The 17,834-nt window shown below is 37.8% G+C and overlaps 1 protein-coding gene across 3 annotated transcripts, besides 1 other annotated feature; it reads left to right on the forward strand.

Annotated features, from left to right (window-relative positions):
- Positions 1 to 297: 297 nt before the first annotated feature.
- On the forward strand, positions 298 to 16,267 carry TMEM212 (transmembrane protein 212). 3 transcript variants are annotated; one of them, NM_001164436.2, is made up of 5 exons: positions 298 to 491; positions 8,931 to 8,990; positions 10,476 to 10,799; positions 13,612 to 13,656; positions 15,010 to 16,267. In NM_001164436.2, the coding sequence occupies exons 1-4, from the start codon at positions 333 to 335 to the stop codon at positions 13,651 to 13,653; spliced, it is 585 nt and encodes a 194-aa protein (NP_001157908.1). In that variant the 5' UTR covers positions 298 to 332; the 3' UTR covers positions 13,654 to 13,656; positions 15,010 to 16,267. The 3 variants fall into 3 exon arrangements, with proteins under 3 accessions (NP_001157908.1, XP_011511119.1, XP_016861865.1); XM_011512817.1 differs by lacking the exon at positions 15,010 to 16,267 and having other exon boundaries at positions 13,612 to 13,810; XM_017006376.2 differs by lacking the exons at positions 8,931 to 8,990; positions 15,010 to 16,267 and having other exon boundaries at positions 13,612 to 13,810.
- Positions 7,488 to 7,782: a silencer, noted in NCBI's record as "tiled region #14633; HepG2 Repressive non-DNase unmatched - State 7:EnhWF, and K562 Repressive non-DNase unmatched - State 7:EnhWF". NCBI's record gives its function as "represses a minimal TATA promoter and a strong SV40 promoter by Sharpr-MPRA in HepG2 and K562 cells {active_cell/tissue: HepG2 | K562}" and the evidence as "EXISTENCE:reporter gene assay evidence [ECO:0000049][PMID:27701403]".
- Positions 16,268 to 17,834: the final 1,567 nt, after the last annotated feature.

Below are 17,834 nucleotides of genomic sequence, written 5' to 3' on the forward strand. Positions count from 1 at the left end.
TTGAATCTGATTAAGCCAGGAAGTGGTCACTCCCCAGGACAGGGCAGAATGAAGGGAATCAAGGCAGCAATCCAAAGCAAGGGATAATTTTTTTCTCTCTTTCTCTTAAATAAATTGTTATTAGAATTTATTGTGTCAAATTTATGCCAAGGACTATTTGAGTACATTTCATCTTTGGTAAAACAAATAGAATCTTGTTTCCAAGTAGATCAACAGTTCGTATGTGTCGTGGCTACTGTCTCTAAGAAACTTCTATTTACTGAGGCCTGTCATACGCTCATGTTTTGGTAACAAAACATCTTTGAGACCAAGGCCTCAAGCCACCAAGGAAAATGAAGGGCCTCTACCAGGCTGCTGGCCGGATTCTTGTTACTCTGGGGATCCTCAGTGTATGCTCTGGAGTTATTGCTTTCTTTCCTGTCTTTTCTTACAAGCCTTGGTTCACAGGATGGAGTGTTCGAATTGCTTGTCCTATCTGGAATGGAGCTTTGGTATGAAAATAGTTTATTAAATATATTGAGAAAATAAAAGAAGGTGGGAGGGAAAGGGAAAACAGAAGAACATATCCTTTTAAATTGTTCTAACAATACAAAGAAGTCAAAATTCCACAAAAAATCAGAATCCGCCTTGGAACATTGATTTCTATTAATTGCATTTTAAGTATAAAAATGATCTTAATATTGTTTTATCATGTATACATGTATATTATGTATTTTTAATGACATGCTGCTCAAGAAATTCTTAAAAAGTTATTTTATTTTAATCCACTTAACTTGATATGCTAAGAAATTAGAATCTTTTGAAATGTGAATTTTGAATTTAGAAAAAAACATAAACCTTGAAAAGTAATTTTAAAATACAGAACAAAGTAAAATAATTTTCAAACTAATGCTTTCATTGCAAACACTAAGATGTACATGGCCCCAAAATTTACAAACCCCAAATATTTGTTTTTCCACCTTTCTCTTGCAAGCAACTGTTTGAACTGAAAATAACTCAATAATTTTCAATTATTTGAAAATAATTCAAATAATTCAATAATTCAAGATGGACTTCACAATTCACTAGGAAAGTACATGTGCCAAGTACAGCGTACGACACTAAGTAGTACTCCGTGTGCGCTCATTGAATCATTGCACAGATAAACGATTGGCCTGGTCCCTTAGCTCTCCAACCAAAAAAAAATGGGCACATCTAGTCTTGGGAGTAACTGGCTTCCATGCTGGTATGATTTAAGAGAAGTTACAGAGACCCACCTGTCCAACAAATCCTTCTCTCATTGATTCCTGTGACGCCTGACACTACTGGAGACTGGAGAATTCAATATTGAAGCTTTTTGATCTTAAGGAATCTTCTATTAAAATGTAGCCACTTGGCCGGGCATGGTGGCTCACGCTTGTAATCCCAGCACTTTGGGAAGCCAAGGGGAGCGGATCACGAGGTCAGGAGTTCGAGACCAGCCTGACCAACATGGCGAAACCCCGTCACTACTAAAAATACAAAAATTAGCTAGGCGTGGTGGCATGCACCTGTAATCCCAGCTACTCAGGAGACTGAGGCAGGAGAATCACATGAACCTGGGAGGCAGAGTTTGCAGTGAGCCGAGATCATACCACTGCACTCCAGCCTGGGTGACAGAGCAAGACTCCATCTCAAAACAAACAAACAAAATGTAGCCACTGTTGTGTGAGATAGTATCTTAAATCTTTAAAAAGTTAAAACTTTAACTGAGATACCACCTAAAAACTAGACCTCAGGAAATATAAATTTTAATCTACTTATTAGATAAATATTTATGAATAGCCCCCTATGTCGTTGAGTTACAATGAAGGATCCAACAAGGTCTTCATCTTAAAGGAACTTGGTCTAGTGGGGTTTGATGAATGTGTGCAGATAGACGGAAGCCAGTGGGATTATGGGAGAGTCGATGGAATGAGGAAACCACAGGGTTATCTTTCTCTTTCTCAGTTTTTTTTTCTTTTTCAATACATTCTTTTGCATCTATCACCCCAATCTTGATCTTCCCTTCTTTTCTCCAACACCTACCTGAAACCACAATTCATTCAAAGAAATATTTGTTTAAGTTCTACTGGAATGCAGAGATGGCAGTTACACTTATTCAAGTGGCTTCCAAACTTTTTTTTGGTGACTCAGAGTCAGAAAAATATTTTAGGTGAGGACCCAGAATGTACATAAATACATCTACATTCTTCTCTCTAGATAAATAGATATCTACATCTATTATGTATATACATGTATAGTAGATGTTTATATATCTATAAAACAAAAGTTGCTCAAAATAGTACTTACCCTCTATGTGAAACATATTCTGATATTTTCTATTTCATTTAATTTTTTTAAAAATTCTGATTTCACAAAGTTTAACAATATCATGATTAGAGTTCAACCCTACATTCTTTTGTTACAGCTGTTTGCCTATCCTTTCAGACTGCAACATAATACATTAAACAAATATTGGTGATTTTGATTAAGATTACAGATGATTGAATGTATTGTTCTAGGCCAAACATCTATTTTTACCAGTTAGGCCCGGAGAAATGATATGATGTGTCTCCAGCACATAGTTAATTGGTAACTGTTTGATTTCAGAGGTGGCAGCATCAGGAAATGGAGTCAGAGATAAAGGATTTAGAGAAGTGGACCTGTTTTCAAGTCCTGACTTTGATGTTCTTGGTAGGAGGTCAAAAGCAGGACCCTCAGCCAGCCAGTTCCTCATTCCCTTTATCTGTAAAATGGGGAATTTTACAGATAAAAAGAGCCCACGTGTAAAACTGTCCAACCCTAAGATGCACAGTGAGAAGGAACACAATTTAAACAAAGATTGTATAATAAAGAGCTTTGCCAATTTTAAAGCCCTCTTCAAATGCTAGTTAATACTATGCCTTTCATTTGTGCCCTACTCTCTGTTCAAGCCCTTTGTTCTTAATCCTGTGTCACCCACCTCACTTTCCTATCCTACTCCCTCGTAACCTGCTGAGTTCTCCATCCTGTTACTTCCTGGACTTCATCTCCTACCACTCTTCCCTTAGGTCACTTCTCTCCCATCACATTGGCTCCTTGCAGTTTTCAAACATGCCATGATGTGTTTCTGCCTCAGGGCCTTTGCACTACCTGCCCTCTGCCTAAAGCCTCTTCCTGAACTTGGCTCACTCCCTAGTCTCCTTCAATTCTTGATTAATTCTTTATCAAACAACACTTTTTTATGGAGGTTTGCTCCCATTACACTATTTAAAATTGTAATCCCCTGACCCCAACTGGTGTTCCCAATCTCTGATACCCTGCTCTATTTTTTCCTCATAACACTTATTAGCATATAAGACACTATATAATTTTTCAATTTATTGTTTGTATATTCCCCTCTCCTCTAACAAATGTATATTGTAGAAGGGCAGGGATTGTTTTTTCTATTATGTTTACTGCTGTATCTGAAGAACTTGGAACAAAGGGAATTACAAACTCTGTGTTCAATAAATATTGTTCAATAAGTATTGTTGAATGAGTGAATGAATCTCATACCCTCCGTTCTGTTGGTACAGAATTTCTTATACAGTTGAATACCAATTAGGTTGCAAAGACTAAAGGTCAGGGTGGTATTTATATTATACTAGTGCAGGAAAAAATCCTCATGAGAAGGAAAGTAATACAAATGCTCAGTCTTTCAATAATGTCTAAATTTGGACGAACGTTATGTTTTTTTACTAGTGAGTTTCCTACTGAACCACAGTTCTGTCTGATCAGGGTGAACTTCAAACAGTCTCTGACTCATTCCACAACCTCCCTTACCAATCACTTCTTAACTTGCCTCCAAAGTATGTCTTCCTCCAGTGACAAGATTTGTACATTTCAACCATATTAACATTTCCTTTTACAGATGACTCCATATTTCCTTGGGGACTTGTAAGAAAGAGATTTTTGTATATGATACAGTACTTTGAATTTGTTCAAAGTCTTTCATTCAAGACTCTCTAAGTACTTCATATAGATTGGTCCTCAGACTCCCTAGTTCCATTTTGACATTTATATGACAAGCAATTTTCCTAGAATTTTGGAGCTAGGTTATTTAAAAGCATCAGCTGCTAGCAAGTATTCAGTGAGGAGATCATAATACCATAAGGAATGAGTTCTATTAATTCTAGAAAACATGGCTTGTAGATCAAGTTCTGATGAAAAGACTGGAGTGCAATGAGTTTAAACACAGGCCCTGAGGGCTGGACAGCCCAGTGACTTGGCCAATGGCAAGTGCAGCGCTGTACCCAGAGCCCTGCTTAGAGAAGGGAATTTGGGAGAAAGGTCACGCTAGATTTAGTTTTGCAGTCTTCCTCAACGGAAGTTCTGCCCCTTCCTCGACGGTTAGAGAAGGGGCTTGATTACATGACCATGCACGTCTGTTACAGCTTCCACAGTTGCATGTCTTCCAACTGCCTGATGGTGTCAAAGAAAAACCAGAGCTGAACAGTTAGTTAAAGCAATAAAAGCAAATTTTATTCAGGATTATTGCAATAGGGAAAAAGAGACATCAATATAGAACAAGGTTCTAGTCCAAGCACAGCATGAGCAAATGGGAATTTATAGCTGAGAAGCAGCTATAAGGGTAAAAGTCGGTGGATGGAAAATTACTAACAGGAAATATCAGGGGCAAGGGGGATTCTGGCTATACAGACCTACCAGTTTTCTTGCTGAAGACAGGCCAGGGTGATCAGACATCACGGTGGGGATGGGGGAGGAGGAGAAATCTGACTAGTTATAGAGGGTGATCAGATATTGAGACTAGGGGGGGTTCTTGCTAAACTGACTCATCAGCAGCAGGGTTCTTGTGCTCAAACTGGATTTTACAAGAAAGTACACAGATGGGCCTAGGAGAAGGTTCAGGAACCTGACTAAAGTTTGATCAAGCAAATAATCTATGTCAATGGTCCATTTTTCCACTTAGATATCCTAAGCTGCTTTAAGGCCAACTTGTCTAAAACCAAATTAATCATCTTGTCACCAAAACCATTTTTTTTCTTCTCCAACTTCCCTGTCATTGTCTTGGTAACTCAATTCCAAATACTGGAGTGATTTTGACTCAACCTGTTCCTCTAAACTATCCCTTCTCAAACTGTAACGTGCATACAAATCATTAGCAGATCTTGATGAGATGCAGGTTCTAATTCAGCAGGTCTGGGGTGGGGCCTGAGAGTCTGCATGTCTAATGAGTTCCCAGAGGATGCCCATGCTGCTGGTCCTAGGACCACACTGCAGGCAGCAATGCCCTACAGCCTAACACCAACCCTACTCTAATCAGTTGCCATGTAACTTTAATTTTTCCTACAAGGCATACCCCTATGCATTCCTTCCTTTTCCATCTCACTCTATACCCCCTTACCACTTGCCATCACTTCTCAGATTTTATGCCTAGGTAACTTTGATAGCCAAACTGTGGGAATCTATCCATTAGTGAATTATAAAATCAATCTATTGAGTAGCTAGCAGTATTTACAATAAATGCATAGAATAGAATAGAATAGGATAGAATAGAATAGAATAGAATAGAATAGAACAGAGGAGAACAGAGTAGAGTGGAGTGGAGTGGAGTGGAGTGGAATGGAATAGATAATATTAGAATGCACCACATTTTTTATATCTGACCAAAATTTGTATATCTTTTATATGCATCATAATGCATATGATGCATAATGATGGTTACATATTATTTTGGTCAGATATAAAAATATTTATAACTATGACATAAAATGTATTCGTTATTGTGGCTAGAGTTGAAAAAATAAATCTGAAGACCAGGGTTCTACAGAGATGTCTAGGCCTCCCCGTATTCCAATCTAGTGTGCACACAACTGGCTCATCTTTCTAAACCCCTTCAGTAGTCAGGCTACAGGTCCTTCAAAAATCTTTCACGTTGCTTCATTGTCCCTAAACAAAGTTCAGACGTGCTAGACTGCATTGTGAGGTCCTTCTCACCCTGGTATTACCTGGCTTTCAATCCTGATTTTCTACTCTTCTCTGCCAAGAACTGGCCCTCCTTTCAGTGTGGACTCCTCACTCCCTGCTCCCTAAGCATGGCAGCCACTTCCCCACCTTTGCACATGCTGCTCCCACAGACTGAGCTGCCCTCCCTCTGTCACCTCCCATTGAAATCACATCCATCCTTAAACCCACTTCAGATCCTATTTCTCCATGGTGCCTTTATCATCGATGTTTCCCCTGTAAGTGATACCTTATCTCTGAGCTCTTCTCATGCAGAAAACATTCATCCTTCTTGCCTAGTGTTGTAGCCATTCTCGTGTGTGCATTATTTTTACACCTGAACTGTAAATTCCAGCGGCAGTCAGAACCACTATTTGTACAATTACTATTTGGGGATCTTGTTCATCTTATTTAGCCTTTCTGTGCCTCATTTTAAAAGTGGGAGGATATCTACATGATAAGGTCATTGTGAGGATTAAATGAGTTAACACATGTGAAGTGTTCAACATATATTAAACACTCACTCAATACATGTTAACATTTATTATTACTTTATCAGCACAGTACCTAGCACATTGCTTGTTTGCAGTAGACTCATAACAGATGCTTGTAAGTGAATAAATTAACCATATTAATATGATACCTCTTAAAGTTTCTATTTCTATTGTGAGGGCTCCCTGCTTCCTTCAATTCATCTACTTCTGGGAACTACGTCCTCTACTTAGGCAATTTAAAGATTTAGTGGGAGGGTTCACAATGATCATGCAATCAAAGTGTTAGCAGTAATTGTTGCAAAACCCAGCTGATATCCCTGGAAGCGCCCAGAAAGCAAGGCAGCAGCATGTCAAGGAGAGCTGAGGGAGGCGAGTGCAGGATGGGGGCCCTCTCTTCTTTCCCCACTCACTGCCAGACACAGCCTCCACTCTCCCCTTCCTCATAACCTGGCCTCCTCTTCAGCCAACTATTCCCCCCTCAGACACTCCCTCTCTCACATTTTCTCTTCCCCTTGACTTGTCCTGCCTACCCTCAAATCTCTTCCTTTTTCATTCTTTTCTCCTCCCTATCTAAAAATATAATTTTCAAGAAGAAATGGAAGAAAGAAAAGGGGAAGTCTGCGCATCTTGGGGAAAATAGCCCTATTCTATCTCCCATGTCTGGCGGGGAGCACCAATAAAGATGGGTGCGCTAACCTCTTGAGCTGCCTTTCAATTTGCAGGGTGGATTTAACAAGTTACTGAAGGCATTCATACTCAGCCTACTGCATGAAAGATCTTTTTCAAAGTTTTATGTAAACAAAGCAAAATTCAAGCTGGCAGCTACAAAAATAACAGGCAACTGAAATTCTGCAGCATTTTTCAACTTTTTGAAAGGAAAGAAACAGCTCATGCCAAAGTAGTTAAGGCAACCTGGAATCTCAGCATCTGATAATGTCAGCTATCTACTCAGAGTTAAACCAGCAGAGGGGCGTGAGCCTGTCTCCCTTGCTTATCTGGCTTCAGTGTTTCTCTCTCTGACAGAGGAGTGATGTGTCAATTGAGGGCCATGCCTCCCAAAGCACAGAAAGCCCCAGGCTTACCCTACAGCACCGGTGTTACAGTTGCTCTTAATAATTCTTTTGTTTTCTTGTACTATTTATGCTGGCTCACCCTCCATAGGGTCCCTTGGAAACTTTCCTCTTGCAGAATCAAGCCAGGAACCCCTTTTGACTACAGATGGTTCTGTTTTTATCCATGGGAGTTTTATGGTATGGCGATGCCAAGTCTGGAATTGTAGGCTCAGCTACATGAGAAGTGTGTGTCTGTGTGTGTGTGTGCACGCGCGTGTGTGTTTCCCTCTCTCTCAAATTCTCTAAATCCAACATTCAAAATAAAATATGCCAGGAAAATGAAAAAGCTAAGTCTCAAAACAATAAATATGCCACATCCAGCTGCTACAAAAGCAGCATACCACACAACCATGTGGGTAAAAATGCTGATTTTTTTTCCTCCTTAACTTTGTTGATTGTGTACATACAGTCATGCTTATTTCTCTGTCAAAAGCTAACTTGTACTATATTTAGAGCTGTCCATATTCTATATCTTATTTTAGGCACATCTCTTCCTCTTTCTCGCTCAACCTCAAAAGAGCCATTAACCAAGAACAAATGATATATGCGGATTAAGAATAAGCTATTTCCAGTCTCAGTGACCACAAAGGTCTCCTCCATCAGATCTGTTGCTGAATCAAAGAGCCAGGAATATATTTTTTTCATTATCCGCTGCTAAATTCTGGTGACACTCTTCCCTCTTTTGTTTAACTATTTTCATTCCACACTGTGGGCCTTTTTCCTTCAACAGAGACTATAAAGAAAAACTCTCTTTTGAAAGGCTGGACACCACTGTACCCAGAACAATAAATGCCACATCATGCATTCATTCTAATGATAATCTTTGTTATTTGAGAAAAGGGGATCGTGTATTTGCATCCCACCAGCAGGCTGAGGCTATGGAATCTCAAAAGAAAGCAAATAGCAAAAGAGAAAGTCGCCTCAGGGTTTTGTGACAAGTTTCCATTCTGGTTCCTTCCATTTACAGTTTCATCAGTTTGTGAGAAAGGTGAACGATAGACATTTAATCAAAATAAAATGTATGGCAAGGGTTATAAAGCCAAGCTATTATCGTGGTGACACCTTACAGTAGTGGAGGCGATGATTCTGATGGCAAAGGCAACATAGAGAATCAAAAAATGAACTTGTATGAATCATGTCTTTATGACACTAATGGCTTACTTTCCTCGTCATCACAGTTTTTTTCCACGGATGAGGAGGAAATCAGAGCCATAAATCCACTGAGTCATTTTCTGTTCCTTCAAGTTCATGATAAAGTTGTCAAACTGTGAGACAGATTGAACTCTTTCCAGAGGTACCTTCTGTGGTGGATGTTTATTTTTCCATTTTCTTGTCACAGGCCATCACAACTGGTGTGCTTCTACTGTTGGCTTACAGAGAGTGGACCCAGAGGTACCTGGTAAATATACCGATGCCAAGTAGGATGGTAGAGAGGCTTTGAAGGTCAAATCACTACTAAGTTCAGGATGGAACATAAAAAATATGATTTCCAATTAGAATTGAATTTGGTCTAATTGATGCCTTACTACAATGGATTTCAGAAATAAACTCTGTTTTAAAAGATTTTTTTTTTTTTGAGACGGAGTTTTACTCTGTCCCCCAGGCTGGAGTGCAGTGGCATGATCTCGGCTCACTACAACCTCCACCTCCCAGGTTCAAGTGATTCTCCTGCCTCAGCCTCCCAAGTAGCTGGGACTACAGGTGCACGCCACCATGCCCAGCTAATTTTTGTATTTCTAGTAAAGACAGGGTTTCGCCATGTTGGCCAGGCTGGTCTCAAACTCCTGACCTCAGGTGATCCACCCACATCAGTCTCCCAAAATGCTGGGATTACAGGCATTAGCTACTGCGCCCAGCCCTGAATAATTTTTATCTGATCCCTGCTCCAAATATTTTCTACAAGTTCCTGTGATCATTATTGTATTTGGGGAGGACAGAGCCTGTGTTAGTGCTCCTAAATTTCATTTTGAAGAAATGGATCTATAGGCTTCTCTGCTTTTAGTAACATATTTTTAATTCTCAGCTCCTTAATCTGGGATCTCCTTCCAATCTTCTTGGTACCTCTCCTTCTAAAAAAGGATGAAAAGTCTATGCTATCTTGCATTTCAACTGCATAAAACCAGATAATCCCATGATACAAAAAGACTACATTATCTGATTATAAATTTTATTGCCATGGCTAACACAGGGCTTCTCAAACTTTAATGTACATGTAAATCAACTAGAGATCTGGTTAAAATGCAGATTCTGATTCAGTAGATCTGGGTGAGGCCTGAGATTCTGCATGTCTGCCAAGCTCCCAGGGGATATCAGTGCTACTGAATGATGGACCACATCCTGAGTAGCTGAGTAGCAAGAACCTTGAGCAGGGATTTTGTTCACTCATCTTTGTTTTTCCCAACCCAGACTAGTTGCTTCCATGTGATGGGAAACACATAAATAAACGTTTGTTGAATTGAACTAATTTAAATTTTGCCCCAGTTGGCTGATATATTATTCTCCTCTGGTGTAGATTGAAAATGAAAGGCGGCAGGAGGGAGAGCATCAGGAAGAATAGCTAATGGGTGCTGGGCTTAATACCTACGTGATAGGTTGATCTGTGCAGCAAATCGCTGTGGCACATGTTAACCTATGTGACAAACCTGCACATCTTGCACATGTATCCCGGTACTTAAAAAGTGAAAAAAAAAAAAAGAAAATGAATATACAAGGGACATTTTTAAGGGAAAATGAAAATATAAAGAGAGAGTCGTGATTGATTTCTCCCTCATTTTCCAATAGGAGAGATTCATAGCCAGCATCTCTTTTATTTTCTTCATATTGCTAAGAAGCCTTTGAAATATTTTGTTCCCAAAGTAACAATTTATTTTTGCTTTATTTTCAGGGGGAAGCTACTTTCACCTTTGTGATTCTGAGCATTATGGGATGTCCACTTCATTTTGCAATAGCCTTGGAATCTGCTCTCCTGGGCCCATATTGCTTCTATTCATTTTCAGGGATTGCAGGGACTAATTACCTTGGCTATGCAGTTACCTTTCCTTATCCATATGCAAAATTCCCATTAGCCTGTGTGGACCCACCACACTACGAAGAGTACCACCTGACACTTCAAGCCCTAGACCTGTGCCTAAGCTTTACCCTACTCTGTACATCCTTGACAGTGTTCATCAAACTTTCTGCAAGACTTATCCAGAATGGACACATAAACGTAAGTTTCAACAAAGGGGAGGCAGGTTCTTGTTCCATCTTGTATGCTAAAATGGAAAGTCTGGTATGTGAACAGTTGATCTTTCTCTGTTATTTACCATTGTATCCCATATGCTTTTGATATCCAGGTCTGGCACATAATAGGTACTGAATAATTGTTTTTGAATTAATAAATGGAAATATGTTGACATTATAACTGAAGTTATGGCCGTAGGTAGCACCAGCCAATTTTTATGTCAATCCACAATTTTGAAAATTATTCATAGGAACAAGACAAGGGTGCCCACTCTCATTACTTCTATTCAACATAGTACTGGAAGTTCTAGCCAGAGCAATTAGGCAAGAAAAAGAAATTTTAAAAATCCAAATCAGAAAGAAAGAAGCAAAATTGACTCTGTTTGCAGATGACATGACCTTATATATATATACCCTAAAGACTCCATAAAAACAATGTTAGAACTGATAAATTCAGTAAAGCTGCAGGATGCAAGTTCAACATACAAAAATCAGCTGTGTTTCTACACACTAACAACAAACAATCCTATTTACAACATCATCAAAAAGAATAAAATACTTAAGATAAATTTAACCAAGAATGTGAAAGATCTGTATACTAAAAACTACAAAATATTAATGAAAGAAATTGAACACACAAATAAATAAAAAGGTATCCCATAATCATAAATCAGGAGAATTAATGTTGTTAAAATGTCCATTCTACTCAAAGCGATCTATAGACTCAGGGCAATTCCTATCAAAAGTTCAATGGCATTTTTCACAGAAATAGAACACATAATCTTAAATGTGCATAGATCTACAAAAGACCACACATAGCCAAAGCGAACTTGAGAAAGAACAAAGCTGGAGACATCACAGTTCCTGATTTTAAACTATATTACAAAGCTACAGCAATCAAAACAGTAAGGCACTAGCATAAAAACAGACAATAGACCAATGGAACAGGACATAGAGCTCAGAAATAAACCCACATGTGAATGTTTGTCCTAAAATAAATTGGCTTTGTTGTTCAAGAAAAAGGGATATTTAGGACAAAACAGAAAGTCTAAGCATGTTGTGAATAGTCTATGTAAGTCATAATAACGTTAGTAAAAAGAAATTTTTTTTAAAAAAGGGGTTGTGTAATTCAGTTGGCTATGATTAAGAAGAAATCATAATAGTCTTTCTAGAGACAGGTCTTTAATATTAAAAAATACACTAATACAAAACTAATTAGTTAAAACAAGATTTTATTACAAATATTGACTTATTTTTAATGCAAGAAGTTTTTAATTTTTAAATTCTATGACCTATCTCTTTGACATTCTTCAGATTGATACCTCAAAAATTCAGCTCTTTCTCTTTGAAAAGGCCTTGGATAATAGCTCTCTCCTTCACCTTTTGATGGTTCCTGTAACTTTTATTAATTATCTAAAGTAGGAAAGGGAATTGCTTTTTAAACAAGCAAATAAAATATCCTTTGAGGCTGGGCATGGTAGCTCATACCTGTAATCCTAGCACTTTGGGAGGCTGATACAGGCAGGTCACTTGAGGTCAGGAGTTCAAAACCAGCCTGGCCAGCACGGTGAAACCCCATCTCTACTAAAAATACACAAAAAAATTAGCCAGGTATTTCCATTTATTAATTAAAAAACAATTATTGAGTACCTATTATGTGCCAGACCTGGATATCAAAAGCATAAAGGATACAGTGGTAATCAAGTAGCTTTTTAAAAGTTACTTGATTAGAGCTCTTTCATGCAGTTTGGTAGTGAAATATTTCCACATGACACATAAAAGCATACAGATATAATAGGCATGCAGAATAAAAGTGCCCATTGGACTGGTATAAGTTAGCTCAGATGTCGTTTAATTCCCATAATCTTAGTAATCTGTGATAAAATTAATTTGGTAAATTTAATCTCAAAACTCTCTCCAGTAATTTAAAATCTTAAAGTCATGTTAAACCCTTGGTTTTTATTTTCACTGGAAATTTGGATTATTAAAAGTTAAAATAGTGGGAGCATAAAATACATTTTTGGTAAAGTTTATGAAACACAAAGATGTTGATTTTGCTTTAAAAAAGGAAAATAGTTTTTTTCCTCTAGTTAAAAACTATTTAATGGTTGCTTTAAAATGAAGGAAAAAGTATACAAATAAAACTAAATAAAGGGAACAATTAGGCCAGTGCAACAAAAGTTAACTCTGAGCCCTGTGATTACCAAAAAAAATAGTCAATATGGGGGAAGGCTAAAACCAAGTAACCATTAAAAAGCAGAATGTATAATGTAAGGGAATTGTTCCATTTCATAGATTGGTATCATCAGCTTCTTAAAAAATCTTTACTATAGTGAATTGTAAAAATAACCACTTTAAGGACAAAATTCTTAAATTTAAATGCTACAGAATTTAAGAGCTTGTTTGGGTTCATGCAAGACTCACAGCTCACTACTAATCTCTAATAAGTATATGCAATCCAAATGCATAGGAGGTTATTCCTAAGAGAACAATCAGCCTAGTAAACTGGATAAGTGACACTGTAAGTGCTGCTTGCCCTGAGAAGAGGACTGCCCAACTCTCCCTATAAAATACCAAATGAACCACCCCAGGTGAAGCAGTTAATATCCTTCATATGCAAGCCATATTGGACTGGCTTTATGATGACTGGGATATCCTCCCAACAAATACACCCATTAGCCAGGTCATGGTAAATTTGGGAGCTAAGTGGACCCCTTTTACATGGGTGCCCCTCCCACAGAATCATAGGACTATTTAAGAAGCCTTATCAAATTTGCTGTCTCTCATATGTCTTACAGATGCAACTCCCTGCTGGGAACCCAAACCCTTTTTCACCATAAAAGGTAAAATGGTCTGGGGATAGAAAAGGCCTGGGACCAGAATATAAAAGCACACAGATTAATAGAATTATAAAATTTAAGATGTTTAAACAAGCTTTATATAAGGTAGTTGAACTCCTTTACCTAAATGTCTTATTAAAATGGGTACTGCATCTGACTGGGATGTTTCCCCTTTCTAGTACTATGAAGCTGAAGGCATGTAAATCTGCTCTTTTAGGAAATGTTAATTAAACATGCTAAATGGGAACTAGTAAAATCACCTAAGCCCACAAAGTATAGGGTAGTACCTGGAGTGCTAGTCTAGATGAATTAGTCACTGCATAGCCCTTTGTGTGGAGCATTCATCGGGGCTGAATGGCAAAAGACTGTGAGTGTTTTTCTATAACAACAACTGAACTAGAGAATTTCCACTTGATGGGGCATTTACTGCCTTGTTATAGAATATTAACTGAAGCTACCTCTATGCTAATGGAAATAATGGTGCCCAAAAGAGTTCCATGATAAAATAAAAATGGTTTACATAAAAAAAAAACTCACACACATGGAATCAAGTAATATTTGACAAGGGTGTCAGGAATGCATAATGAGGAATAATAGCCTTTTTAATAAATGGTGTTAGGAAAACTGGATATCTACATGCAAAAGAATGAACTACGACCCCGATCTGAGGCCAGTCACAGAAATTAACTTAAAATGGATTAAAGATTTAAATGTAAGACCTAAAGCTGTAAAACTACTGAAAGAAAACATAGGGATAAAGCTCCATTGACATTTGTCTTAGCACTGCTTTTTTTGGATATGACATGAAAAGCACATGCTACCAAAGCAGAAATAAACAGTGGGACTACATCAAACTAAAAAGCTTCTGCACAGCAAAGAAAACAATCAACAAAATGAAAAAGCAGCTTACAGAATTTTCAAACCATATACAGGACAAGGGATTAATATCCAAAATATATAAGGAACTCATACAACTCAACAGCAAGAAATAAATAATCTGATTTTAAAATGGGCAAATGACCTGCGTAGACATTTTTTCAAAGAAGACATACAGGTGGCCAACAGGTACATGAAAAGGTGTTGAGAAGCTCTTTAACATTACAAATTATTAGGGAAATGCAAATCAAAACCACAATGAAATATCACTTCACACCTGTTAAAATGACTATTATCAACCGGGTAAGAGATAACAAGTGTTGGTGAGGATGTGGAGAAAAGGGAATCCTTGTGCACCATTGGTGGGAATATAAATTGGCATAGCCATTATTGAAAACAGCATGGAGGTACTGCCCAAGGTAATTTATAGATTCAATGCCATCCCATCAAGCTACCAATGACCAATGACTTTCTTCACAGAATTGGAAAAAACTAAAGTTCATATGGGACCAAAAAAGAGCCCGCATACCCAAGACAATCCTAAGCAAAAAGAACAAAGCTGGAGGCATCACACTACCTGACTTCAAACTATTCTACAAGGCTACAGTTACCAAAACAGCATGGTACTGGTACCAAAACAGATATATAGACCAATGGAACAGAACAGAGGCCTCAGAAATAACACCACACATATACAACCATCTGATCTTTGACAAACCTGACAAAAACAAGAAATGGGGAAAGGATTCCCTTTTTAATAAATGGTGCTGGGAAAACTGGTTAGCCATATGTAGAAAGCTGAAACTGGATCCCTTCCTTACACCTTATATAAAAATTAACTCAAGATGGATTAAAGACTTAAATGTAAGACCTAAAACCATAAAAACCCTAGAAGAAAACCTAGGCAATACCATTCAGGACATAGGCATGGGCAAAGACTTCATGACTAAAACACCAAAAGCAATGGCAACAAAAGCCAAAATAGACAAATCGTATCTAATTAAACTAAAGGGCTTCTGCATGGCAAAAGAAACTATCATCAGAGTGAACAGGCAACCTACAGAACGGGAGAAAATTTTTTCAATCTACCCATCTGACAAACAGCTAATATCCAGAATCTACAAAGAACTTAAACAAATTTACAAGAAAAAAACAAACAACCACATCAAAAAGTAGGCAAAGGACATGGACACTTCTCAAAAGAAGACATTTATGAAGCCAACAGACACACATAATCCCAAATCATGCTACTATAAAGACACATGCACACGTATGTTTATTGCGGCACTATTCACAATAGTAAAGACTTGGAACCAACCCAAATATCCATCAATGATAGATTGGATTAAGAAAATGTGGCACATATACACCATGGAATACTACGCAGCCATAAAAAAGGATGAGTTCATGTCCTTTGCAGGGACATAGATGAAGCTGGAAACCATCATTCTCCGCAAACTGTCACAAGGACAGAAAACCAAACACCACATGTTCTCACTCATAGGTGGGAATTGAACAATGGGAACACTTGGACACAGGGTGGGGAACATCACACACTGGGGCCTTTCAGTGGGTGGGAGGCTGGGGGAGGGATAGCATTAGGAGAAATTCCTAATGTAGATGATGAGTTGATGGGTGTGGCAAACCAACATGGCACATATATACCTATGCAACAAACCTGCATGTTGTGCACATGTACCCTAGAACTTAGAGTATAATAAAAAAAAAGAAAACAGTGTGGAGGCTCCTCCAAAAATTAAAAATAGAAATACTACATATCCAGCAATGCTACTTCTGGGTATATAACTGAGGAAAACAAAAACATATGCCAAGGCGACATCTGCACTCTCATGTTCACTGCAGTATTATCCACAATAGACAAGACATGGAGACAATCCAAGTGTTCATCCACAGATGAACAGATAAAGAAAATACACACAATGAAATACTACTCAGCCTTAAAAACATGAGGAAATCATGCCATTTGCAACAACATGGATGAAACTTGAGGGGATTATGCTAAGTGAAATAAGTCAGACAGAGAAGGATAAATACTGTATTATCTCACTTACATGTGGAATCTTAAAAAGTTAAACTCATAGAAATAGAGAGTAGTATGGTTGTTGCCAAGGCTGAGGGGTGAAGGAAACGGAGAGAAATTGGTCAATGGGTACAAATTTTCTGTTATAAGTTGAGTAAGTTCTAGGAATCTAATGTACAGCATGATGACTATTTAACAGCAATGTATTGTACACTTGAAATTTGCTAAGAGAGTAGATCTTAAATGTTCTCACCACACACACCACAAGAGGTAAATATGTGAGGTCTCGGATGTGTTAACTGACTTGACTGTGATAAACATTTCACATTTCATATATATACACATAATCATCACAATATACACTTATAATTTATATAACATTATTTGTCAAATATACCTCATTAAAGCTGGAATAAAATAAAATACATTTTTAACATAAAGTGATAAGAAACACTGAACTTTTTATGAATAATGAATCTGCATCCCTTTACCTGATTCTAAGTTTAAGAGGTCATGAGAATATAGTATTTTTTCCCCTGGGAAGACATATGCTAAGATAAACCAACTTTGAATTTTTGAATTTTATTTTATTTTACTTATTCTTTTTTTTTTTTTTTTTTTTGAGACCGGGTCTCGCTCTGTCACCAAGGCTGGATGGAGTGCAATAGCATGATCTCAGCTCACTGCAACTTCTGCCTCTTGTGCTGAAGTGATCCTCCCACTTCAGCCTCCTGAGTAACTGAGACCATAGGTGTGAGCCACCATGTCCAACTAATTTTTTTTATCTTTTGTAGAGACAAGGTTTCACCACGTTGCTCAGGCTGGTCTTGAACTCCTGGGCTCAAGTCATCTGCCCGCTTCAGCCTCCCAGACTATTGGGAATGCAGGCATAAGCCACCTCATCAGGTCAAACCTTGAATTTTAACCCTAAACATCTGCATAATGCTTTGCAATGTTATTTTGCAGTTTACAATGTAGGATTGAATTTGACAATTTGCTTTATTTTATCTAATTAAATTTTACACAATAAAAAGTACTAATAGAGACAAAGACTAAGAACTTTTTGAGGAAATTGATGGAATAATATATTTAATATTTTTAATAGTTGAATACAGATACCTTAAATTGGCTTCTAACCCACAATTCAGATGCACTGTGGCTTGAAAATACATAGAAGAAATTCTCCCAGTGTTTCCATTCCTACCCCAACAAAGAGGTTGAAGTACCCCAACATCAAGTTCAGCTTTCTAACTTTTTCCAGAAG

The sequence above is a fragment of the Homo sapiens genome, chromosome 3, assembly GCF_000001405.40.
Source record: "Homo sapiens chromosome 3, GRCh38.p14 Primary Assembly".
NCBI lineage: Eukaryota > Metazoa > Chordata > Mammalia > Primates > Hominidae > Homo > Homo sapiens.

Coding starts and splice junctions, on each gene's coding strand:
- TMEM212 (NM_001164436.2), top strand. CDS start 333: ATGAAGGGCCTCTACCAGGCTGCTGGCCGGATTCTTGTTACTCTGGGG. Junction 492..8,930: donor CTATCTGGAATGGAGCTTTG/GTATGAAAATAG, acceptor TTCTTGTCACAG/GCCATCACAACTGGTGTGCT. Junction 8,991..10,475: donor AGTGGACCCAGAGGTACCTG/GTAAATATACCG, acceptor CTTTATTTTCAG/GGGGAAGCTACTTTCACCTT.